We start from the raw sequence: 25,826 nt of genomic DNA, 5'->3' as shown, positions 1-25,826 counted from the left end.
CTTTTACCAACTGTGCATTTCCTTGCAAGGCAACCCAGACAATCAGCCCATCTTATAATTAGACCATCCCCCATGAGAGTCTCATTTCTCATTGGGGGTTGGGGATGTTTCCATATCTTCCAGGTAGCCAAGAGCATGCTTTTCTGATCCAGGTGTGCAAAGAGTCAAGTGTTCCTCCATAACTACTATTAGCCATCCCCTAAGGTATATTTCCTACCTAGTTATTACACACCAAGCTCTTTCATAATGAAAAGTAATTTCTGATACCCCTAAAACTCAAAACTGTCAGATGACACAATGCGAAACAGAACACAGCATTTTGAGAGGGATCTATCCGCTTTTAATTCCTGGGGTTTCATGAGGAAAACAGAGCTTTCTTCCGAAACGGTGTCTGTGGCACCTTCTGTTTTTCCCAAGGAGTTCCAGGCTACCAGAAATTATCTTAGGGCCCCTCGTGTGTGCATTAAGAGTGGCAAGACAAAAAAAAATGGAGAAAAATATTTCAGTTGACTGAGAAGAAAAAAGCTTTTTCCAGAAAAACAAGTTCCAAGAAGAGAAAAACATAAAGGCCTTTTAAATATGCCTATAACTTGCTTATCCACTTTTAATTAAGCTGACTTTTAACCACAGTGCTCTTTTAAAAAATCCTTTCAGATCTCTTATTACCCAAGCAGCCAATATTTCTAAACTTTACCAAAGGTAACCTCCTAGGTGCTTTAAAGACATGGTAGGCAGTTTGTTTTTACAAGATTTAGAATCTCTACAAGGTAGTTCAGAGAAAGGAAAATTCAACAGAGGAAATCAAAAGCTATCCATGGGGGGGAAAAAACCTTATTAAATGGCAAAGTTACACAAATAAACCAGGAAGGAATCATTCCAGAAGCCAACAATTGAACCCAGGCCACCATTATCAAAAGATAAAGCCTTAGCTATTGAACTATACAGCATTGAGCAGTTTCTATTGCTTTTCCCAGAAGGAGAGTACAGAAGCCAATTTCTTTTTTTTTTTTTTTTTTTTTTTTTTTTGAGACAGAGTCTTGCTCTGTTGCCCAGACTGGAGTGCAGTGGCATGATCTTGGCTCACTGCAAGCTCCACCTCCCAGGTTCATGCCATTCTCCTGCCTCAGCCTCCCGAGTAGCTGGGACTACAGGTGCCCGCCACCACACCCGGCTAATTTTTTCTATTTTTAGTAGAGACAGGGTTTCACCGTGTTAGCCAGGATGGTCTTGATCTCCTGACCTTATGATCTGCCTGCCTCGGCCTCCAAAAGTGCTGGGATTACAGGTGTAAGCCACCACGTACCCGGCCTCAGAAGCCAATTTCAAGCTTGCGAAGCTTTAACTGGTCAGGAAAAAATTGTAGGACTATGACATGAACCCCAAAATTTCTGTCCTCTGGATGGTGGAAACAAAAAGAAAGAATCCCTGCATGGTCACAAGGTTGAGCTCTTAAGGACACAAAACAAGACATAGAAATCTCATACAGTATTGGCTTCAGGGATCCATAGCAAAGTTTGTAACTGACCAGCCTGCTGAGCTGGCTTGAAAGGCAGGCTTATAGAGGTCCTAAACCCACGTTCTATCCTGTTGATACCCCTCTCTCCATTACAGAACACAGAAAGACAAATTCTTAGCACAAACTATACCAGATATGCTACAGCCTAAGATTAGTCTCATAAATCCTTTTTTTATTAATCAAACCCTTGCAGATGAGACAGATAGTTTACTATTTACCAAGACAGAGAAAGACAGAGAGAGACCAGAAACTTGGCCAGTAAGAATTTCTTACCCTTTTTGCTGGTATATCAGGTTTCCAGTTTCCCTTTCTCTGCAGCTTCCAGAAGAATGGAGTGGCTTCTGATGATCCTGCTCACTTGTGCTATAGCTGTGGGGTTCATGCCACTTTAAAAGAGGAAATCACACTTTCCTGTTTTATGGAAACATAGACAAGATTCTTAATTTGCAAGATGCTGCCCAATGGGCTGCATGGGTAACTGAATTAACATTTTCCATTCCAGCAAAATACACATACAAAACAGACATTAGTCACCTCATTCAGTACCCAATATCAGCCTGGCAAAGCTCAAACATTTTTCCTGTTGGTCCCTGTTGCCTTTGATCCACTCCAGGTGGGGAGAGATAACCTGCAAATGTAATTCACAATGGGATCTCTGGGCAAGGCAAAGAGCAGATAGTTACCATGAGAGACAGGCCTGTTGAGCCTTTTTTAGGGTCATCAAATATAACCAGACAAATAAGGAAGGTTCTCTGAGGTAGGGCTACTGGACTTCCACCAACAACCCCTTGTGAGATCCCTTTCACATATACAAACACACACAAAGATGAGATGGACAGCAGGCCTTCCAAATCAGATCCCTAGCCAAGAACTTCAAGATTATCCCTTCCAAACTATCCTTCTATTCTCCATCTGAGAAACCTCCTTGAAATCTTCCTGATTAAGGAGAAGCCTCCCAAACCAGGACTCTTCCTACTAGTTAGAAAGAACCAACCGAGACCTCCTCAGGAGCCAAACAGACACCCTGCAATGGAGCTACAGACACAGACACCCTGTGGTGGAGCTACAAACAGACACCCTGCAATGGGGCTACAGACATCCCACCACAGGGCTACAGAATCCATCGAGAGAAGGAAGGAGGTGTTGGCAGTGTCTAGGATACTCACCAATGCAGACACACCACATTGAGGCTACAGACAGACACCCTCTGATAGAGCTACAGTTAAGGGACATCTCCCCATGACTATGTCTCCATTGCAATTAAACCCATGTACATTGGATTGGCAGCTCCCCACCAGTAGAGAGAGTACCAGAGTCAGCCACCAGTCCAAGAGAACTAGGCGACCACTTGGGCTGGCTTCTGGATCCATTGCTGAAGAGGGGGCCACTGAACCATGGGCAGGTAGCCACAAGGGCAATCCCAGATGAGCTCCCAAATTTGCAACCACCCAAGGGTGAGACACCTTGTCCACTGCCTAGACAGAGCATATTCATCAAGACAGGGGAATTGCAATCAAGAAAGAATAATTCATGCAGAGCCAGCTGTGCAGGAGACCGGAGTTTTATTATTACTCAAATCAGCCTCAAAACAGTTGTTGAGATGTTTGAAGAAGTGGGAGTCAGTTGGCAAGAGGTCAGGTGAATATGGTGGATAAGGCACAACTTCGTAGCCGAATTTGTTCAACTTTTGAAGCATTGGTTGTATGATGTGCTGTTGGATGTTGTCATGGAGAAGAATTGGGCCCTTTTTATTGACCAGTGCCAGTTGCAGGTGTTGCAGTTTTCAGTGCATCTCATCGAAGTGCTGAGCATACTTCTCAGATGTAATGGTTTCACTGGGATTCAGAAAGCTGTAGTGGATCAGACCAGCGACAGACAACCAAACAGTGACCATGACCTTTTTTTCGTGCAAGTTTCACCTTGGAAAGTGCTTTGGAGCTGCTTCTCAATCCAGTCACTGAGCTGTTCATTGCCAGTTGTCATATAAAATCTACTTTTCATCACACATTACAATCTGATTGAGGAATGGTTTGTTGTTGTGTAGAATAAGATGACACTTCAAAACAATGATGTTTTCTATTTGCAGTCAGCTCATGAGGCACCCACTTATCGAGCTTTTTCACCTTTCCAATTTGTCCCAAATGCCAAATGACTGTAGAATGGTCAACGCTGAGTTCTTTGGCAACTTCTTGCGTAGTTGTAAGAGGATCAGCTTCGATGATTGCTCTCAACTGGTCATTGTTGACTTCCGATGGCCAGCCACTACACTCCTCATCTTCAAGGCTCTCGTCTCCTTTGCAAAACTTCTTGAACCACCACTGCACTGTATGTTCATTAGCAGTTTCTGGGTCAAATGCATTGTTGATGTTGCAAGTTGTCTCCACTGCTTTACAGCCCATTTTGAACTCAAATAAGAAAATCACTCGGTTTTGCTTTTTGTCTAACATCATTTCCATAGTCAAAAATAAACATAAAATAAACAGCAAGTAATAAGTCATTAGCAAAAAAATAAAGCGAGAAATGTCCATTGCAATGACTGATAACATAACCACATTATTTAAGAATGTATTCCAATATCAAATGGCAAATTCCAACAATGCAAAAACCACAATTACATTTGCACCAACCTAATATTAAGCGAATTAATTAAACAAACTAAACATAAACCTGTTACTATGTCATTTAATCTAGGGAGAAAGACCTATAATTTGTAAAGTATTTGGAATGCTGTTAGGCAAATGTTATGCTAGGTCGCCCCAGTTTTGAGTGATTCTCAATACTTAAAAAACTGATACCCAGAGTAAGTAAATCAGAACCTCTGGGCACAGGATCTAGGCATCGGTATTTTTAAAGCTGTTCAGGTGATTCAATCTGTGGACAAAGATGAGACTTACTGTAGTAGTTGAATTATAGACTGCTAAGTGAAGTCAAAGGTAGAGCTCATATGTTACCTACATGATGAGGGAAGCCTTCTTAGAAAGATTGTGGGGGTTTTATATATTTTTAAAATTTTTGTACCTGAAGTCTTTAATTGTTTTTATGTGCTTTTAATTATAATACCCAAAAAATGTGTATAAGGTAATGCATTAAAGGAACTTAGTGGTCCGAGAGGAAAAGGAATAAAGACTTGTAGACATGTGGATATATATTTTGGAAGGTTAGGAGGTGAGAGAGAGACAGATGCATTTGAAAAGTTGAAATAAGTTTAGTATTTTTAGAATATGAGCTACCAGAAAAGAGTACCTGCAGATGAAGCTGGAGAGGGAGGCAGGACCTGCCTAGCAGAGGATTGTGTACACCATATGTAGGAGTTTGGAGTCAGTTTCTACTAAAGAGTTGAAACTCTTCTCAAGCTCTGCTGTACTGCTTTCTTTCTCTTCCAGTGGGACCTGGTATGTGAATCTCAGTCACTAAAATCAATGGTTCAATCCCTATTTATGGCTGGGTCACTTCTGGGAGGTCTAATATATGGCCATCTTTCAGACAGGTGAGTGTCATCTCACTTTCTTTGGGGCTGTTTATCAGATGATATATTCATTCCTTTATTTTAGAAATATTTACTGAGCTCTTACTGTATACTTTGCATTGTGCTATGTGCTGATCTCTCTTTCTGACTCCAGGAAGCTACAGCTGATTAAGAATGCTTATTTGAATTAGAAATGATAGTTGGGTATTAAAAGTCTGTTCATTGTACTGAATAAAAGAGGACAGAAAAAGACATCCAAATCAGATTCAAAGAAGTTTCAGGAAGGGATTTTTAGAGTAGATTACAGGATTTGAGGTTTACTTGTAGGAGTTAGTTCAATACAGGGAGAGGAAGGGTGTTTGAGGCAGGAGGTGCTTCGGGTCTGAAAGTGCAAATTTGTGAAACAGCGTTATTGGCCTTGACAATGTTCTAAACCACCTAGACCCTGTGAGAGAAATTATTGAGGCACTTTTAGACTGGCCATCATTTCATACCTGCAGCATAAGTGCTCATGTGCAGTGGGTAGTCATCATTATAAAATCTGATGGTTGTGCAGCACTGTGGCACTCACAGGATAGGAAGACATTGCACCTCTAACCTGGATGCTGATCCTTGTGAAATAATTTTAAAATGTCATTTGTATAACCACATAAGGGTTATACAAAATAGATTGTATTTATCTACTAATCTACTCTAATAGATTGTGGTATATTCATATAAATAAATTAAGAACCTAGAATGGAGTGGGCACGGTGGCTCACGCCCATAATACCAACACTTTGGGAGGCCAAGGTGGGTGAATCACTTGGGGTAAGGAGTTTGAGACCAGCCTGGCCAATACTGTGAAACCCCATCTCTACTAAAAATACAAAAATTAGCCTGGCATGGTGGCTGGCACCTATATAGCTCCCAGCTATTCAGGAGGCTGAGGTGTGAGAATCACCTGAACCCAGAAGGCAGAGGTTGCAGTGAGCTGAGATCATGCCACTGTACTCTGGCCTGGGCAACAAAGCGAGACACTGTCTGAAAAAAAAGAAAAAAGAAAAAAAAAGAACCTAGGATGACTTTGCTTGAGGATGAGATGTTTGGGGATTCCTTTGTCCTGGCAGAGCTCCTTCTGAAGGAGGCACTCAACCATGGCTGTCACTGAAGCATGTCACCCACAAGGACACTGAGGAGAGTTTAGATGCTCAATGTCATCTGACAGTCTTTATTTAAAAATTGTGACCTGGGATCACTTCCAAGATGGCTGAATAGGAATAGCTCCGGTCTGCAGCTCCCAGTGAGATCAACACAGAAGATGGGTGATTTCTACATTTCCAGCTGAGGTACCTGGTTCATCTCATTGGGACTGGTTGGACAGTGGGTGCAACCCATTGAGGGTAAGCTGAAGCAGGGTGGGGTGCCGCCTCACCCAGGAAGTGCAAGGGATTGGGGATTTCCCTTTCCTAGCCAAGGGAAGGTGTGACAGACTGCACCTGGAGAAACAGTACACTCCTGACCAAATACTGCACTTTTCCCACAGTCTTGGCAACCTGCAGATCAGGAGATTCCCTCGCATGCCTGGCTCGGTGGGTCCCATGCCCACTGAGCCTTGCTCACTGCTAGTGCACCAGTCTGAGATCGACCTGCGATACTGCAGCTTGACAGGGGGAGGGGCATCCACCATTGCTGAGGCTTGAGTAGCTCACAGTGTAAACAAAGTGGCTGGGAAGTTCGAACTGGGCAGAGCCCACCGTAGCTCCGTAAGGACTACTGCCTCTCTAGATTCCACCTCTGGGGGCAGGGCATAGCTGAACAAAAGGCAGCAGACAGCTTCTGCAGACTTAAACATCCCTGTCTGACAGCTCTGAAGAGACCAGTGGTTCTCTCAGCATGGCATTCGAGCTCTGAGAAAAGACAGGCTGCCTCCTCAAGTGGGTCCCTGGCCCCCATGTAGCCTGACTGGAAGACACTTCCCAGTAGGGGCCGACAGACACCTCATACAGGTGGGTGCTCCTCTGGGAAGAAGCTTCCAGAGGAGGGATCAGGCAGCAATATTTGCTGTTCTGCAATATTTGCTGTTCTGCAGCTTCTGCTAGTGATACCCAAGCAAAGAGTGTCGGGAGTGGACCTCCAGCAAACTCCAACAGACCTGCAGCTGAAGGACCTGACTGTTAGAATGAAAACTAACAAACAGAAAGGAATAGCATCACCATCAACAAAAAGGACTTCTACACCAAAACCCCATCTGTAGGTCACCAACATCAAAGACCAAAGGTAGATAAAACCACAAAGATGAGGAGAAACCAGAGCAGAAAAGTGGAAAATTCTAAAAACCAGAGTGCCTCTTCTCCTCCAAAGGTTCACAGCTGCTTGCCAGCAAGGGAAAAAAACTGGATGAAGAATGAGTTTGACAAGTTGACAGAAGTAGGCTTCAGAAGGTTGGTAATAACAAACTTCTCCAAGCTAAAGAAGCATGTTCTAACCCATTTCAAGGAAGCTAAAAACCTTGAAAAAAGGTTAGACGAATGGCTAAATAAAATAAACAGTGTAGAAAAGACCTTAAAGGACTGGATGGAGCTGAAAACCACAGCATGAGAACTTTGTGATGCATGCACAAGCTAAAATAGCCTATTGGATCAAGTGGAAGAATGGATATCAATGATTGAAGATGAAATGAATGAAATAAAGTGAGAAGACAAGATTAGAGAAAAAAGAGTGAAAAGAAATGAACAAAGCTGTCAAGAAATATGGGACTAAGTGAAAAGACCAAATATATGATTGATTGGTGTACCTGAAAGTGACAGGGAAAATGGAACCAAGTTAGAAGATACTCTTCAGGATGTTATCCAGGAGAGCTTCCCTAACCTAGATAGGCAGGCCAACATTCAAATCCAGGAAATACAGAGAACACTACAAAGATACTCCTTGAGAAGAGCAAGCCCAAGACATGTAATTGTCAGATTCACCAAGGTAGAAACGAAGACAAAAAATATTAAGGGCAGCCAGAGATGAAGGTGGGGTTACCCACTAAGGGAAGCCCATCAGACTAATAGCACTTCTCTCAGCAGAAACCCTACAAGCCAGAAAAGATTGGGGGCCAATATTCAACATTCTTAAAAAAAGAATTTTCAACCCAGAATTTCACGTCCCGCCAAACTAAGCTTCATAAGTGAAGGAGAAATAAAAATCCTTTAAAGACAAGCAAATGCTGAGAGATTTTGTCACCACCAGGCCTGCCTTACAAGAGTTCCTGAAGGAAGCACTAAACATGGAAAGGAACAACCAGTACCAGCCACTGCAAAAACATACCAAATTGTAAAGACCATTGACACTATGAAGACACTGCCTCAATTAACAGGCAAAATAACCAGCTAACATCATAATGACAGGCTCGAATTCAAACATAATAATATTAACCTTAAATGTAACTGGGCTAAATGCCCCAATCAAAAGACACAGACTGGCAAATTGGATAAAGAGTCAAGACTCTTTATCGGTGTGCTATACTCAGGAAACCCAGCTCACATACAAAGACGTGTATAGGCTCAAAATACAGGGAGGGAGGAAGATCTACCAAGCAAATGGAAAGCAAAAAAAAGCAGGGGTTGCAATCCTAGTATCTGATAAAACAGACTTTAAACCAACAAAGATCAAAAGAGACAAAGAAGGCCACTATATAATGGTAAAGGGATCAATTCAACAAGAAAAGCTAACTATCCTAAATATATATACACCCAATACAGGACCACCCAGATTCATAAAGCAAGTTCTTAAAGACCTACAAAAAGACTTAGACTACCACACAATAATAATGAGAGACTTTAACACCCCACTGTCAATATTAGACAGATCAATGAGACAGAAGGTTAACAAGGATATCCAGCACCACTGATCCCACAGAAATACAAACTACCATCAGAGAACACTATAAACACCTCTATACAAATAAACTAGAAAATCTAGAAGAAATTGATAAATTCCTGGACAAATACACCCTCCCAAGACTAAACCAGGAAGAAGTTGAATCTCTGAATAGAACAATAATGGGCTCTGAAATTGAGGCAATAATTAACAGCCCACCAATCAAAAAAAGTCCAGGACCAGACAGATTCACAGCCGAATTCTGCCATAGGTACAAACAGGAGTAGGTACCATTCCTTCTGAAACTATTCCAATTAATAGAAAAAGAGAGAATCCTCCCTAATTCATTTTATGAGACCAGCATCATCATGATAGCAAAGCCTGACAGAGACACAAGAAAAAGAGAATTTTTGACCAACATCCCTGATGAACATTGATGTGAAAATCCTCAATAAAATATTAGCAAACCGAATCCAGCAGCACATCAAAAAGCTTATCCACCATAATCAAGTGGGCTTCATCCCTGGGATGCAAGGCTGGTTCAACATATGCAAATCAATAAACGTAATCCATCACATAAACAGAACCAATGACAAAAACCACATGATTATCTCAATAGATGCAGAAAAGACCTTCAACAAAATTCAACAGCACTTCATGCTAAAAACTCTCAATAAACTAGGTATAGATGGAACGTATCTCAAAATAATAAGAGTTAGTTATGACAAACCCAAAGCCAATATCATACTGAATGGGCAAAAACTGGAAGCATTCTCTTTGAAAACCAGCACAAGACAAGGATGCCCTCTCTCACCACTCCTATTCAACATAGTGTTGGAAGTTCTGGCCACGGCAATCAGGCAAGAGAAAGAAATAAAGGGTGTTCAGTTAGAAAAAGGGGAAATCAAATTGTCTCTGTTTGCAGATGAAATTATTGTATACTTAGAAAACCCATCATCTCAGCCAAAATCTCCTTAAGCTGATAAGCAACTTTAGCAAAGTCTCAGGATAAAAAATTAATGTGGAAAAATCACAAGCATTGCTACACACCAATAACAGACAAACAGAGAGCCAAATCATGAGTGAACTCCCATCCACAGTTACTACAAAGAGAATAAAATACCTAGGAATCCAACTTACAAGGGATGTGAAGAACCTCCTCAAGGAAAACTACAAACCACTGCTCAACAAAATAAAAGAGGACACAAGCAAGTGGAAGAACATTCCATGGTCATGGATAGGAAGAATCAATATCATGAAAATGGTCCTACTGTCCAAGGTAATTTATAGATTCAATGCCATCCCCATCTAGCTACCAATGTCTTTCTTCACAGAATTGGAAAAAAAACTACTTTAAAATTCACATGGAACCAAAAAGAGACCGCATAGCCAAGACAACCCTAAGCAAAAAGATCAAAGCTGGAGGCAACACGCTACCTGACTTCAAACTATACTACAAGGCTACAATAATCAAAACAGCATGGTACGGGTACCAAAACAGATATATAGACCGATGGAACAGAATAGAAGCTTCAGAAATAACACCACACGTCTATGACCATCTGATCTTTCACAAATCTGACAAAAACAAGCAATGGGGAAAGGATTTCCTTTTTAATAAGTGGTGCTGGGAAAACTGGCTAGCCATACGTAGAAAGCTAAAACTGGATCCCTTCCTTACACCTTATACAAAAATTAACTCAAGATGGATTAAAGACTTAAATGTAAGACCTAACACCATAAAAGCCCTAGAGAAAACCTAGGCAGTACCATTCAGGACTTAGGCATGAGCAAAGACTTCATGACTAAAACACCAAAACAATGGCAACAAAAGCCAAAATAGACAAATGGGATCTAATTTGTAGGGACCAGCCCTACAGGGTCTATGGGTTTTTCTCCCCATGTACAGAGATGAGAGATTGTAGATATAAAGACACAAGACAAAGAGGTAAAAGAAAAGACAGCTGTGCCTGGGGGACCACTACCACCAAGACGCGGAGACTGGTAGTGGCCCTGAATGCCAGGCTGCGCTGTTATTTATTAGATACAAGACAAGGGGGCAGGGTAAGGAATGTGAGCCATCTCCAATGATAGGTAAGGTCACATGGGTCATGTGTCCACTGGACGGGGGCCCTTCCCAATTTGGCAGCTGAGGCAGACAGAGAGAGAGAGAGGAGACAGTTTACGCCATTATTTCTGCATTTCAGAGACTTTTAGTACTTTCACTAATTCTGCTACTGCTATCTAGAAGGCAGAGCCAGGTGTACAGGATGGAACATGAAAGCGGACCAGGAGCATGACCGCTGAAACACAGCATCACAGGGAGATGGTTAGGCCTCCGGATAACTGCAGGTGGGCCTGACTGATGTCAGGCCCTCCACAAGAGGTGGTGGAGCAGAGTCTTCTCTAACTCCCCCAGGGAAAGGGAGAATCCCTTTCCCAGTCTGCTAAGTAGCGGGTGCTTTTCCTAGGCACTGACGCTACGACTAGACCAAGGTCCGCTAGGTAACAGGTGTCTTCCCAGGCGCTGGTGTTACTGCTAGACCAAGGAGCCCTCTGGTGGCCCTGTCCAGGCATGACAGAAGGCTCACACTCTTGTCTTCTGGTCACTTCTCACCGTGACCCTTCAGCTCCTATCTCTCTATGGCCTGGTTTCTCCTAAGTTATAATTGTAGAGTGATGATTATTATAATATTGGAATAAAGAGTAATTGCTACAAACTAATGATTAATAATATTCATATATAATCATATCTATCATCTATATCTAGTATAACTCTTCTTATTTTATATATTTTCTTTATTATACTGGAACAGCTCCTGCTCTCAGTCTCTTGCGTCGGTGCCTGGGTGGCTTGCCGCCCACACTAATTAAACTAAAGAGCTTCTGCACAGCAAAAGTAACTATCATCAGAGTGAACAGGCAACCTACAGAATGGGAGAAAATTTTTGTAGTCTATCCATCTGACAAACAGCTAATATCCAGAATCTAAAAAGAACTTAAACAAATTTACAAAAAAAAATCAAAAAGTGGGCAAAGGATATGAACAACATTTCTCAAAAGAAGACATTTATGCAGAAAACAGACATATGAAAAAATGTTCATCATCACTAGTCATCAGAGAAATGCAAATCAAAACCACAATGAGATACCATCTCACACCAGCTAGAATGGCAGTGATTAAAAAGTCAGGAAACAACAGGTGCTGGAGAGGATGTGGAGAAATAGGAACACTTTTACACTGTTGGTGGGAGTGTAAGTTAATTCAACCATTGTGGAAGATAGTGTGGCGATTCCTCAAGGTTCTAGAACTAGAAGTACCATTTGACCCAGCAATCACATTCCTGGGTATATACCCAAAGGATTATAAATCATGCTACTCTAAAGACACATGCACACGTATGTTTATTGTGGCACTATTCACAATAGCAAAGACTTGGAACCAACCCAAATGTCCACCAATGACAGATTGGATTAAGAAAATGTGGCACATATACACCATGGAATACTATGCAGCCATAAAAAAGGATGAGTTCATGTCCTTTGCAGGGACTTGAATGTAGCTGGAAACCATCATTCTAAACAAACTATCACAAGGACCGAAAGCCAAACACCACATGTTCTCACTTATAGGTGGGAGTTGAACAATGAGAACACATGGAAACAGGGTGGGGAACATCACATACCAGGGCCTGTCAGGGAGTGGGGGGCTGGGGCAGTGACAGCATTAGGAGAAATACCTAATGTAAATGACGACTTGATGGGTGCAGCAAACCAATATGGCACGTGTATACATATGTAACAAACCTGCACATTGTGCACATGTACCCTAGAACTTAAAGTATAATTTTTAAAAATCACAAGTATTCCTATACACCAATAACAGACAAACTGAGAGCCAAATCCTGAGTGAACTCCCATTCACAATTGCTACTAAGAGAATAAAATACCTAGGAATACAACTTACAAGGGATCTGATGGACCTCTTCAAGGAAAACCACTGCTCAAAGAAATGGGAGGACACCAACAAATGGAAAAACATTCCATGCTCATGGATAAAAAGAATCAATACTGTGAAAATTGCCATACTTCCCAAAGTAATTTATACATTCAATGCTATCCCCATCAAGCTACCACTGACTTTCTTCACAGAATTGGAAAAAACTGCTTTAAACTTCATATGGAACCAAAAAAGACCCCACATAGCTAAGAAAATCCTTAGCAAAAAGAATAAAGCTGGAGGCAACACGCTACCTGACTTCAAATTATGCTACAAGGCTACAGTAATCAAAACAGCATGGTACTGGTTCCAAAACAGATATATAGACCAATGGAACAGAACAGGGGCCTCAGAAATAACACCACACATCTACAACTATCTGATCTTTGACAAACCTGACAAAAACAAGCAATGGGGAAAGGATTCCCTATTTAATGAATGGTATTGGGAAAATAGGCTAGCCATATGCAGAAAATTGAAACTGGACCTCTTCCTTACACCTTATACAAAAATTAATTCAAGATGGATTAAAGACTTAAAAGTAAGACCTAAAACCATAAAAATCCTAGAAGAAAACCTAGTCAATACCATTCAGGTCATAGGCATGGGCAAAGACTTCACATCTACAACACCAAAGCAATGGCAACAAAAGCCAAAATAGACAAATGGGATCTAATTAAACTAAAGAGCTTCTGCACAGCAAAAGAAACTACCATTAGAGTGAACAGGAAACATACAGAATGGGAGAAAATTTTTGCAATCTACCCATCTGACAAAGGGCTAATATCCAGAATCTAAAAAGAACTTAAACAAATTTACAAGAAAAAAAACAAACGACCCCATCAAAAAGTGGGCGAAGGATATGAACAGACACTTCTCAAAAGAAGACATTTATGCAGCCAACCAACATAGGAAAAAATGCTCATCATCACCAGTCATCAGAGAAATGCAAATCAAAACCACAATGAGATACCATCTCACACCAGTTAGAATGGCAATCATTTAAAAAGTCAGGAAACAACAGATGCTGGAGAGGATGTGGAGAAATAAGAACACTTTTACACTGTTGGTGGGAGTGTAAATTAGTTCAGCCATTGTGGAAGACAGTGTGGCAATTCCTCAAGGATCTAGAACCAGAAATATTATTTCACCCAGAATCCTACTACTGGGTATATACCCAAAGGATTATAAATCATGCTACTATAAAGACACATCCACACGTATGTTTACCGCGGCACTATTCACAATAGCAAATACTTGGAACCAACCCAAATGTCCACCAATGACAGACTGGATTAAGAAAATGTAGCACATATACACCATGGAATACTATGCAGCCATAAAAAAGGATGAGTTCATGTCCTTTGCAGAGACATGGATGAAGCTAGAAACCATCATTCTCAGCAAACTAACACAGGAACAGAAAACTAAACACTGCATGTTCTCACTCAGAAGTGGGAGTTGAACAATGAGAACACATGGACACAGGGAGGGGAACATCACATACCAGGGCCTGTCGTGGAGTGCAGGGCTAGGGGAGGAGTAGCATTAGGAGAAATACCTAATGTAGATGACAAGTTAATGGGTGCAGCAAACCACCATGGCACTTGTACACCTATGTAACAAAACTGCACATTCTGCACAGGTACCTCAGAACTTAAAGTATAATAAAAAAATTTTTTAATGAAAAATAAACTTCAATGAAATGTTTTTTTGTTTTTTTTTATTTTTGTATTATTATACTTTAAGTTTTAGGGTACATGTGCACAATGTGCAGGTTAGTTACATATGTATACATGTGCCATGCTGGTGTGCTGCACCCATTAACTCGTCATTTAGCATTAGGTATATCTCCTAATGCTATCCCTCCCCACTCCCCCCACCCCGCAACAGTCCCCAGAGTGTGATGTTCCCCTTCCTGTGTCCATGTGTTCTCATTGTTCAATTCCCACCTATGAGTGAGAACATGCGTTGTTTGGTTTTTTGTCCTTGCAATAGTTTACTGAGAATGATGATTTCCATTTTCATTCATGTCCCTACAAAGGACATGAACTCATCATTTTTTATGGCTGCATAGTATTCCATGGTGTATATGTGCCACATTTTAATTTGAAATGTTTAATAAGGGATATGACAATGATAGGGTTTGTGACAGTTGAGTTGAAAAGACTGTTAGTAAGAGCTAACAGTGGCAGCCAGGAGACCAGTTGTAAAATAATTTATTTCAATAACCATGGCTCAGATTTGTAAGATGACCCTAACATCTAAAATAGTGAAGGGATATTTTGGAAGATAGTAAAGGAACTCTAGAAGTTATCAAGTTCAACCTCCTATCAAATGAAGGAACTTCTGCATTTCTAACAAATAACTACCTTGTTCTGTTACAAAACCTTTAAGAATATGTTGCTCACTTCTTTAAAAAGAACCGTCTGCTAGTGTTTGACTCCTGTTAATATCACACAGTTAATCCATACATCGAATTTATCTCATTATCTGTGCCTTCTCAAGCTTGAAAGTTTTTTCTGTCTTTCTTCCCCCCAGGAGCTAGATGACACTCAACAGTATTCCACTGCACTTAGAATAAAATCTAAGTTTTCTTATCATAAATCTTGCCAGCTCTGAGATCTGGCTGCTGTATCCCTTTCTCACCTCATCTATTACCTTCTTCCATTTTCTGCTAGTCTTCAAGACATCAAGCTGGTTCCCATCATGTAGCATTTATACTTGCTGTTCCCTCTGGCCATAATATTCTTTTTTCTGCACATAGCTCAGCCCACACCTTCTGTTTACTCAAATTTAAATTTCACCCCCTCAAAGATCTCTTCCTTGACTCCTATCTGGTGGTGCCTTCACCCAAGTTACTCTCAGTAAATTTCTCGATCTTTATTTTTAAGGGGAATTTTACAATAAAACCTTTTTAAAGACTTACTCCTCCACTGAGTAGTAGCAAGGACCATTTAAAAGGCTGTTGAAATAGTCCAGAGGAAAGATCATAAGAATGTAAATTAAAGGGATATCAAGGGAGATGGTAAGATAGAGTTGGATTTGTAAAATGTTTTAGAGGTAGAGACAATAAGAGTTGCTGATAAGCTTAGAATATTTTCCACTATTGGGGGACTGCTAGGAAGAGAAACAGAAGAATCCAAGGGGATATAGGCTTTTCGCCCAAGCAAACAAGTAAATTCTGATGCCACTATACAAGATGAGAGAAGACTAGAAAGAAAGTAAATCTGGGGAAGAAAGTCAAGATGTCTGCTTTGGACTTTCTGGGTCGGAGTTGCCTATTAGACATGCATATGGAGTTTCAGGTAGACAGTTGTATATAATGGATATTCAGGTCACAGAAGAGGTCAAAGCTAGAGACAATAATTTAGAATTTATTAGCATATAATTATTTTCATAGTTATGAAAGTGGAAGGGGTAACTCAGAAAAGAAATGTAGATAGAGACCAGTGATATCAAGTAGATTAAACTCTGTCTAAAGCAGGAACTCACCATATGATCACCATTTTACATCACTGTGACTGGCATTGGCATTCTCTTACCTTATTAATTAAGTTTTCCAGCCTTGACTTCTTTCTTTTTCAGGTTTCAAAGTTACCCTGTATTCATTATGTGCATAATATTCATTATGCACTGTAGTATACAACTGTGCCCTCATTCTTTTTTCACTAGCATTCATTTTCACCTTAATGTAAGTTCATTAAACCAAATCAAGACTGACACAACTTTTTCATTCTAGATGTTCTCTTTGCCTCTTCTCCTTCCTCCTCCAATCAAAATATGCACATAGTATTCTATACCACTGTAGGATTACTTTAGTTAACAATAATATATATAGTTTCAAATAGCTCAAAGGAGGATATCTAATATTTCCAACACAAAGAAATGATAGGTGTTTTGAGAAGATAGGTATGCTAATCACCCCATTCTGATTACTGTACATTATAAGTATTGAAACATCACTATATATCCCACGAATATGTACAACTATTATTTGTTAATTTAAGAAATAAAATAGGCCAGGCACAGTGGCTCAGGCCTGTAATCCCAGCACTTTGGGAGGCCGAGGCTAGCGGATCACGAAGTCAGGAGATCAAGACCATCCTGGCCAACATGCTGAAACCCCGTCTCTACTAAAAATACAAAATAAAAAAACTAGCTGGGCATGGTGATGGGTGCCTGTAGTCCCAGCTACTCGGGAGGCTGAGGCAGGAGAATGGCTTGAACCCAGGAGGCGGAGGTTGCAGTGAGCCGAGATGGCACCACCGCACTCCAGCCTGGTGGCAGAGCAAGACTCCATCTCAATAAATAAATAAATAAATGTTTAAATGCACATAAACCTTCTCTGTTTATCTTCATCAAACACCAGCTTCATCTTAGCCCTAACACATTAGTCATGAGAGTTAGCTGCCCAAAATCTTAAACAGTTACCATAATGAAAGGATAATCCTCATTGATGTTTTAGTCAGATATGGTGGAATGAGTCTACAGGGCACCCATCTTTCAGACAGTAGCTCGGAGAACCAGGGCCATTTATTGCAGGTCTTTAATTTCTATGAAAGAGCGTGTGAGACTACAGTGGACCTTTTATGGTCAGGTCTGGAGTTAGCGTATATTACTTGCCACATCCAAGTAAATCCCCATGGTAACTACATTGAATTACAAGAAATGCTTTCTTCCAATAGGCCTTTAAAAAGAAAAATGATGGTAAATATCTAGCCAGACTCTGTACCATCTGTACTTTTAATGAATGAAAATGATTCAGTTAATCATTTTCCTTATTGATGAGGTAATATCTTCGTTAATTTGGGCAAGGCCTCTTTCATACTTGTATAACTCTTCATGTCTACCCCATTTGTTTCTATTCCCATCTTTCACCATAAAGGGCTTTCTCATGTGTTTATTATTAATGTTTTTATTTCTTCAAGCTAAAAAAAGTGTGTGATATCCTGCATGTTCTCACTCATAGGTGGGAATTGAACAATGAGAACACATGGACACAGGAAGGGGAACATCACACTCCGGGGACTGTTGTGGGGTGGCGGGGAGTCGGGAGGGATAGCATTAGGAGATATACCTAATGCTAAATGATGAGTTAATGGGTGCAGCACACCAGCATGGCACGTGTATACATATGTAACTAACCTGCACATTGTGCACATGTACCCTAAAACTTAAAGTATAATAATAAAATTAAACTTAAAAAAAGTAAAATAAAAAATTTTTTAAAGCAAAAAAAAATGTGTGATATCATTGGGTATGCAGGTATTTTAATTTACATAAAAAGTATCCAATCTCTTTCTAACCTTTGTCATTCACCAAGTTTTTGAGATCTACCTCTAGTTTCATGTGCATATCTAGTCTGCTGCTTCAAACTATTTCATAGTTCTTCATAGTGATCCCCCAACAATTTTTTCCTATTCTCATTTCCAGTGATGAATTCCTAACAACAGTATTCCTAACAACACATCTATTTCTAATATTAACATCTCGATATGTGTTTCTTTACTATGAGAATTTTTTTTACTAATAGGCTTTAATTTTTATAGCAATTTTAGGTTTACAGAAATAATGAGTAGAAAGTAGAGTGTTCCCATATAATCCCTTCCACAAAGTTTCCCATATTACCAACATTTTGCACTAGTGTGATACATTTATTACAATTGATAGACCAATATTCATACATTATTTACTAAAGTTCATAGTTTATCTTAGGGCTCAGTGTTTGTGTTGTACAGTGTTATGGGTTTTGGCAAAAGTATAATATCATGTATCTACCATCAGAGTATCTCCTTAAAAATGTCCTGTGCTACATATACCTATTTATCCCTCCCTCTTATCTGGGGGCAACCACTACCATGAGATTTTTATTGAGGATATATACATTCTCATTGTACTTATTGTGTTTCTATTTCTCAGTTTTCCAATGATTCCTTCTCCATCATGTCCTGTATCATAGATCTTTTTTTAAAGATAATTCTATTCTAAGTTGCCTCATACAAATTTAGTAATAAAATATATTCTATATAAACATTCAGAAAGTAAGACATTTTATAAGAGTAATCATGACATAAATATACTACTAGGGTAACAAAAATTACAGAACAGGTGTCCAAAACTAAAGTTTGTTTGTATGCTAATACTACTGAGAATTTAGTATCAACTCATGTAATTTGGTCAAAGTTAACTCTAGAAAGGGTGCCTGCCCTTCCTGCCAGTCTGTGACACACATACTGCTCTTTTCTATTTGTTTATCTTCCCCTTCTTTGTTTCTCATTCTCTGCCTTACCTCATCCTCTCCTCTGTAAACTTTCTACCAGTTTCTGCACTGAGGGGAACAGTTGCTGAACTGTTTTCTTTTTCTTTTTTTTTATTTATTTTTTATTATATTTTAAGTTTTAGGGTACATGTGCACATTGTGCAGGTTAGTTACATACGTATACATGTGCCATGCTGGTGCGCTGCACCCACTAACTCGTCATCTAGCATTAGGTATATCTCCCAATGCTATCCCTCCCCCCTCCCCCCACCCCACAACAGTCCCCAGAGTGTGATATTCCCCTTCCTGTGTCCATGTGATCTCATTGTTCAATTCCCACCTATGAGTGGGAATAGGCATTACCATTCAGGACATAGGCATGGGCAAGGACTTCATGTCTAAAACACCAAAAGCAATGGCAACAAAAGCCAAAATTGACAAATGGGATCTAATTAAACTAAAGAGCTTCTGCACAGCAAAAGAAACTACCGTCAGAGTGAACAGGCAACCTACAAAATCGGAGAAAATTTTCACAACCTACTCATCTGACAAAGGGCTAATATCCAGAATCTACAATGAACTCAAACACATTTACAAGAAAAAAACAAACAACCCCATCAAAAAGTGGGCGAAGGACATGAACAGACACTTCTCAAAAGAAGACATTTATGCAGCCAAAAAACACATGAAAAAATGCTGAACTGTTTTCTATAGAGCTGAAACACATTTCCCAAGCCTGTAAATCTAGACATAGCTGAGTGATTGTTATGCAGCCTATCTGCAACTTTGATTTATTGTCTTTCCACTCTTCCTTTCAAATAAGTTTAGCTTTTACCTGGACAGTGCAGAGACCCAAGAACAGATCTCTGGATTTCCCTCCTCAGTGCTCTAAACACAACACACATATCCACTATCCTAAATGCATATGTTTTGTAGAATAAACATTTGGGAAATATGGGACAACTTCCCATATTTCATCTTCTTTTATATGGCTTCATATGGCGAAAGAGTCCTTCCAGTGATGGTTTGGTGAGAGCTTTGACAACACTCTCATACTGACAAATAGGGAGGGTTACATCTGTGATTTTTGCTGCTCACTAATATAATTATGCCACCCGGTGTCAAGCACCATGTTCCACTTGTTAAACATTTATCCTAATTTCAAGATGCGCCATTGTTTGTCAAGTTTTCCACGTGTTATTTTTGTTCCTAAGTAACGTTATCTGGTTTAATATTTCTTAGGGTTGGACGGAAGATCATATGCAAATTGTGTTTCCTCCAGCTGGCCATCTCTAACACCTGTGCGGCCTTCGCTCCCACCTTCCTTGTTTACTGCATACTGCGCTTCTTGGCAGGGTTCTCCACCATGACTATTTTGGGAAACACTTTTATTCTCAGTAAGTCAATAATTTGAGCATTTTATCATCTCCATGTCTTGAATTGACCTTGAAATTACCATTTGTCTAAAATTATTACTATGTATATGTTTTCTTCCAGGCTTAGAGTGGACATTGCCCCGGTCACGATCTATGACAATAATGGTGCTATTATGTTCCTACAGTGTTGGGCAGATGCTCCTAGGAGGGCTGGCTTTTGCCATTCAGGACTGGCACATATTGCAACTGACTGTGTCTACACCCATAATTGTCCTCTTCTTGTCCTCTTGGTATGAACAATCTCCACATTCTTTGCCTGTAAGCGAGGCTATGGTAGACATAGAAAGGAAAATTCTGACACCTGGGATCTGTTCGGTCTCTGGCCTAGTCCTGAGCCATGATGTCCATAGTACCTATTGTGTCACCTGAGAAGCAAACAATGGAATAGGATGACACTATATGTGGGGAGGCTGGCACTTTGCATTCATTATTTTAGACATGGAATTATCATGAAATTATTTTTCTTAATAGAAAAAATACCCACTTATTTTTGAAGCAAATGTATTATTTATCTAACTTTTGGAATATTATGTGATGGAGATAATTTGGGGGCTTTTGTCATTGTAACTGAGATTGAATATAAGGAAAACACAATAAATTTATCTACATAACTATTTAAAATTAGAAGAGCATGCTGTCTCTAGCACCAAGAGTTAGGATGGGGGCGACTTCAGGGAACTTGACAGAGTAGGATCTCCAAAAATTGGTTCCTCCATAAAAGCAACACAAAACTAGCAAAAAGTTGTCAAAATCATCTCTTTCAGAACTCTGAAAATTAACCAAAGACTTGCAGCAATTTAGGGAATCTTTTGTTGAAGAAAAACTGAGTCCCAGTAAGAAAGTGAATGTTGGGATGTTTTTAACATATCTTAGTTTCAGTTCCTACTCTCCAGCTATGCTGCAGCCTTGAAAAAAAAATAACAGCTAACATTCTTGGTACTAGAGGGAGGAGGACAGAGCTTGAGTTATTTCAAAACCTCATTCACAAAAAGCTGTCATTATTATACCTTTCTGCTGGCTCCCCTAAGACCCTATTTGGAAGGCTGTCTCTATTTGACCTGACTCAAAGTTGCCTAGTGTGAGAAGGCTCCCCTCATAAGGCATTTGTCAAACATATTTACTGACAAATGTTTTGAGGTCACAGCTGTCTGAAGTGATGGATAACAATTTGGGAAAATAATATAATTAACAAAGAGTTGAAAATTAGAAGCTGAGGAACAAAATACAGTTGACCCTTGAACAGTGCAGAGTGTTGGGGGCGCCAACACCCCATGCACTCAAAAATCTGCATATAAATTTTGACTCTAAAAACTGAACTACTTATAGCCTACTCTTGGCTGGCAGCCTTAACAATAACATAAACAGTTATTAACACATATTCTGTGTGTTATATGCATTATATACTATATTCTTATGGTAAAGTAAGCTAGAGAAAAGAAAATGTTATTAAGAAAAGCGTAAGGAAGAGAAAATGTATTTACTATTCATTAAGTGGAAATGGATTATCATACAGGTCTTAATCCTTAACATCTTCATGTTAAGTAGGCTGAGGAGAGGAAAGAAGAGGAGGAGTTGGTCTTGCCATCTCAGGGGTGGCAAAGATAGAAGAGGTAGATGAGGTGAAAGGGGAAGTCCCTAAGCTCTCACCTCTGGATGATCTTGGGGCTCTGCATATGCAGTTGGTGGAGGCTAAGGCAGAGATGTAAACTGCCTGACTGAGTGTCACATACTCAGAGCCTCTCAATAAAGACTGGGAGAAGTATTGGTTGCAGACAACTAACTTAATAGCTGAGCACTAAGCTAACCAAGTAGAGATTCAGTGGCCACACATGACGAATACTGATTTTACAGAATTCGTTAACAAAAAGCCACTAACCAAACAAACAATCACTACAACAGGGAGCAACAACAACAAACATTGAGAAAGAGGGAAGAATATGATTTCCAGAATTGTTACATTATATGTTTAAAAGGCCTAGTTTTCAACAAAGGAGCCATGGAAGAAAACATGAAAGCATGACTTCTACACAGGAAGAAAAGGCAATCAGTACAAACTATACCTGACAAGCCAGATGTTGGCTTATGAGACATAGGATTTGAATCAACTAAGTTAAATATGCTCAAGAATTAAAGAAAACCATGTCTAAATAAGTAACAAAAAAATACAAAAAAAAGATGTCTCCAAATAGAAAACATCATTGAAGATGGAAATGTTTAAAAGGAGCCAAATAGAAATTCTAGAGTTGAAATGTTCAGAAGTGAAAATTTATTGGATGGTCAAAACAGAAGAGTTGGGCAGGCAGAAAAAAAGCAGTAAATTTGAAGACAGTGTTGAGATTATCCAGTTTAGTGAATAAAATAAGTAAGGAGGAGCAGAGTTTTGAGGACATGTGAGACTCTATCAAGGGTATCAACATATGCATTTTGTAGTCCCAGAAGGCGAGGGCTGAGAAAAAGGAACAAAGTATATTTTTAAAAATAATGGCTAATAAAACAAATATGTTGGAAACATTAATCTACACACCCAAGAAATTCAAAAACTGTAATTCAGATAAACTGAAAAGATCCATACCTAGACACAGTATAATCAAGCTACCAAAATCCAAAGAAAGATTTTTAAAACCATCAAAAGAAAAGCTAACTCATCATGGAAAAGAGATCCTCAATAAGATTAATAGTTGATTTATCAACAGAAAACAGAGTCTGCAAGGCAGTGGGATTAATTATTCAAAGTGTTGAAAAAAAAATCTGCCAGAGCCTTCTGGTTCTAGGTGCTTTGGGAGCTGCGGCTTAAGGTGCAGACATAACCAAGTCCAAGAACCATACCAAACACAACCAGTCCGAAAAATGGCACAGAAATGGTATCAAGAAACCCTGATCACAAAGATATGAATCTCTTAAGGGTGTGGACCCCAAGTTCCTGAAGAATATGCGCTTTGCCAAGAAGCACATCAAGAAGGGCCTAAAGAAGATGCAGGTCAACAATGCCAAGGCCATGAGTGCACATGCCAAGGCTATCAAGGCCCTCATAAAGCCCAAGGAAGTTAAGCTCAAGATCCCAAAGAGTGTCAGCAACAAGCTCGATTGACTTGCCTACATTGCCCACCTCAAGCTTGGGAAGTAGGCTCTTGCCCATGTTGTCAAGGGGCTCGGGCAGTGCCAGCCAAAGGCCAAGGGTCAAACCAAGGCCCAGGCTGCAGCTCCAGCTTCAGTTCCAGCTCAGGCTCCCAAAGGTGCCCAAGCCCCTACAAAGACTTCAGAGTGGATATCTCTGTCTACCAAGGTGAGGACAGAAGGAATGGTGCAACCTCCCCAATAGGCTGCCATCTGCATGGGGCTGGGGTCCTCTGGTGCTATTTGTACAAGTAAACCTGAAAAAAAAAATCTGTCAGCAGAGAATTCTACATCTGCCCATATAAAAAAAACAAAACCGGGTCTTCCATTCCAAGATGGTCGAATAGGAACAGCTCTGGTCTGCAGATCCCAGTGTGATCGATGCAGAAGATGGGTGATTTCTGCATTTCCAACTGAGGTACCTTGTTCATATCACTGGGACTGCTTGGACAGTGGGTGCAGCTCATGGAGGGTGAGCTGAAGCAGGGCGCAGTGTTGCCTCACCTGGGAAGTGCAAGGGGTTGGGGGATTTCCCTTTCCTAGCCAAAGGAAGCCATGACAGACTGTACCTGGAAAAATGGGACACTCCTGCCTAAATACTGTGCTTTTCCCAAGGTCTTAGCAACCAGCAGACCAGGAGATACTCTCCCATGCCTGGCTCACTGGGTCCCATGCCCACGGAGCCTTGCTCACTGCTAGCACAGCAGTCTGAGATCGACCTGCAAGGCAGTAGCCTCATGGGGGGAGGGGTGTCTGCCATTGCTGAGGCTTGAGTAGGTAAATAAAGTGGCCAGGAAGCTCGAACTGGGTGGAGCCCACCACAGCTCAGCCAGGCCTACTGCCTTTCTAGATTCCACCTCTGTGGGCAGGGCATAGATGAACAAAAGGCAGCAGAAACTTCAGCAGACTTAAACGTCTCTGTCTGACAGCTTTGAAGAGACCAGTGGTTCTCCCAGCACAGTGTATGAGCTCTGAGAATGGACAGGCTGCCTCCTCAAGTGGGTCCCTGAACCCTATGTAGCCTAACTGGGAGACACCTCCCAGTAGGGGCTGACAGACACCTCATACAGGCAGGTGCCCTTCTGAGACGAAGCTTCCAGAGGAAGGATTAGGCAGCAATATTTGCTGTTCTGCAAAACCTCCACTGGTGATACCCAGGCAAACAGGGTCTGGAGTGGACCTCCAGCAAACTCCAACAGACCTGCAGCTGAGGGACCTGGCTGTTAGAAGGAAAACTAACAAACAGAAAGGAATAGCATCACCATCAACAAAAAGGATATCCACACCAAAACCCCATCTGTAGGTCACCAAAATCAAAGACCAAAGGTAGATAAAACCACAAAGATGGGGAGAAAACAGAGCAGAAAAGCTGAAAATTCTAAAAACCAGAGTGCCTCTTCTCCTCCAAAGGATTGCAGCTCCTCACAAGCAACAGAACAAAGCTGGATGGAGAGCTACTTTGATGAGTTAACAGAAGTAGGCTTCAGAAGGTCAATAATAACAAACTTCTCCGAGCTAAAGGAGCATATTCTAACACATCACAAGGAAGCTAAAAACCTTGAAAAACGATTAGATGATGGCTAAACAGTGTAGAGAAGACCTTAAGTGACCTGATGGAGCTGAAAACCATGGCATGAGATCTTCATGACCCATGTACAAGTTTCAATAGCCGAGTCAATCAAGTGGAAGAAAGGGTATCAGTGATTGAAGATCAAATTAATGAAATAAAGTGAGAGGGCAAGTTTAGAGAAAAAAGAGTAAAAAGAAGTGAACAAAGCTTCTAAGAAATATGGGACTATGTGAAAAGACAAAATCTATGTTTAATTGGTGTACCTGAAAGTGACGGAAAGAATGGAACCAAGTTGGAAAAACACTCTTCAGGATATTATCCAGGAGAATTTCCCCAACCCAGAAAGGAGGGCCAACATTCAAATTCAGGAAATACAGAGAACATGACAAAGATACTCCTCAAGAAGAGCAACCCCAAGACACACAATTGTCAGATTCACCAAGGTTGAAGTGAAGGAAAAAATGTTAAGGGCAGCCAGAGAGAAAGGTCGGGTTACCCACAAAAGGAAGCCCATCAGACTAACAGCAGATCTCTCGGCAGAAACCCAAAAAGCCAGAAGAGAGAGGGGGCCCATATTCAACATTCCTTTTTTTTTTTTTTTTTTGAGATGGAGTCT

General features: G+C 40.5%; 1 protein-coding gene and 1 pseudogene across 2 annotated transcripts in view; both read left to right on the top strand.

Annotated features, from left to right (window-relative positions):
* SLC22A24 (solute carrier family 22 member 24) overlaps positions 1-25,826 on the top strand; it is a 64,282-nt gene that overhangs the window by 4,554 nt on the left and 33,902 nt on the right. The window contains exons 2-4 of one of the 2 annotated variants that reach the window (NM_001136506.2): positions 4,900-5,003; positions 20,333-20,487; positions 20,588-20,756. In NM_001136506.2, coding sequence (NP_001129978.2) covers positions 4,900-5,003; positions 20,333-20,487; positions 20,588-20,756 — 428 coding nt within the window. Of the gene's footprint in view, positions 1-4,899; positions 5,004-20,332; positions 20,488-20,587; positions 21,148-25,826 lie in introns of those variants that run through there. The other variant, NM_173586.3, reaches the window with a different exon arrangement.
* Positions 23,285-23,901, top strand: RPL29P22 (ribosomal protein L29 pseudogene 22; annotated as a pseudogene).

This window comes from Homo sapiens, chromosome 11, assembly GCF_000001405.40.
Source record: "Homo sapiens chromosome 11, GRCh38.p14 Primary Assembly".
Lineage (NCBI taxonomy): Eukaryota > Metazoa > Chordata > Mammalia > Primates > Hominidae > Homo > Homo sapiens.
The sequence above is the reverse complement of the archived record's forward strand: the minus strand, read 5'-3'. Positions and strand labels throughout refer to the sequence as shown.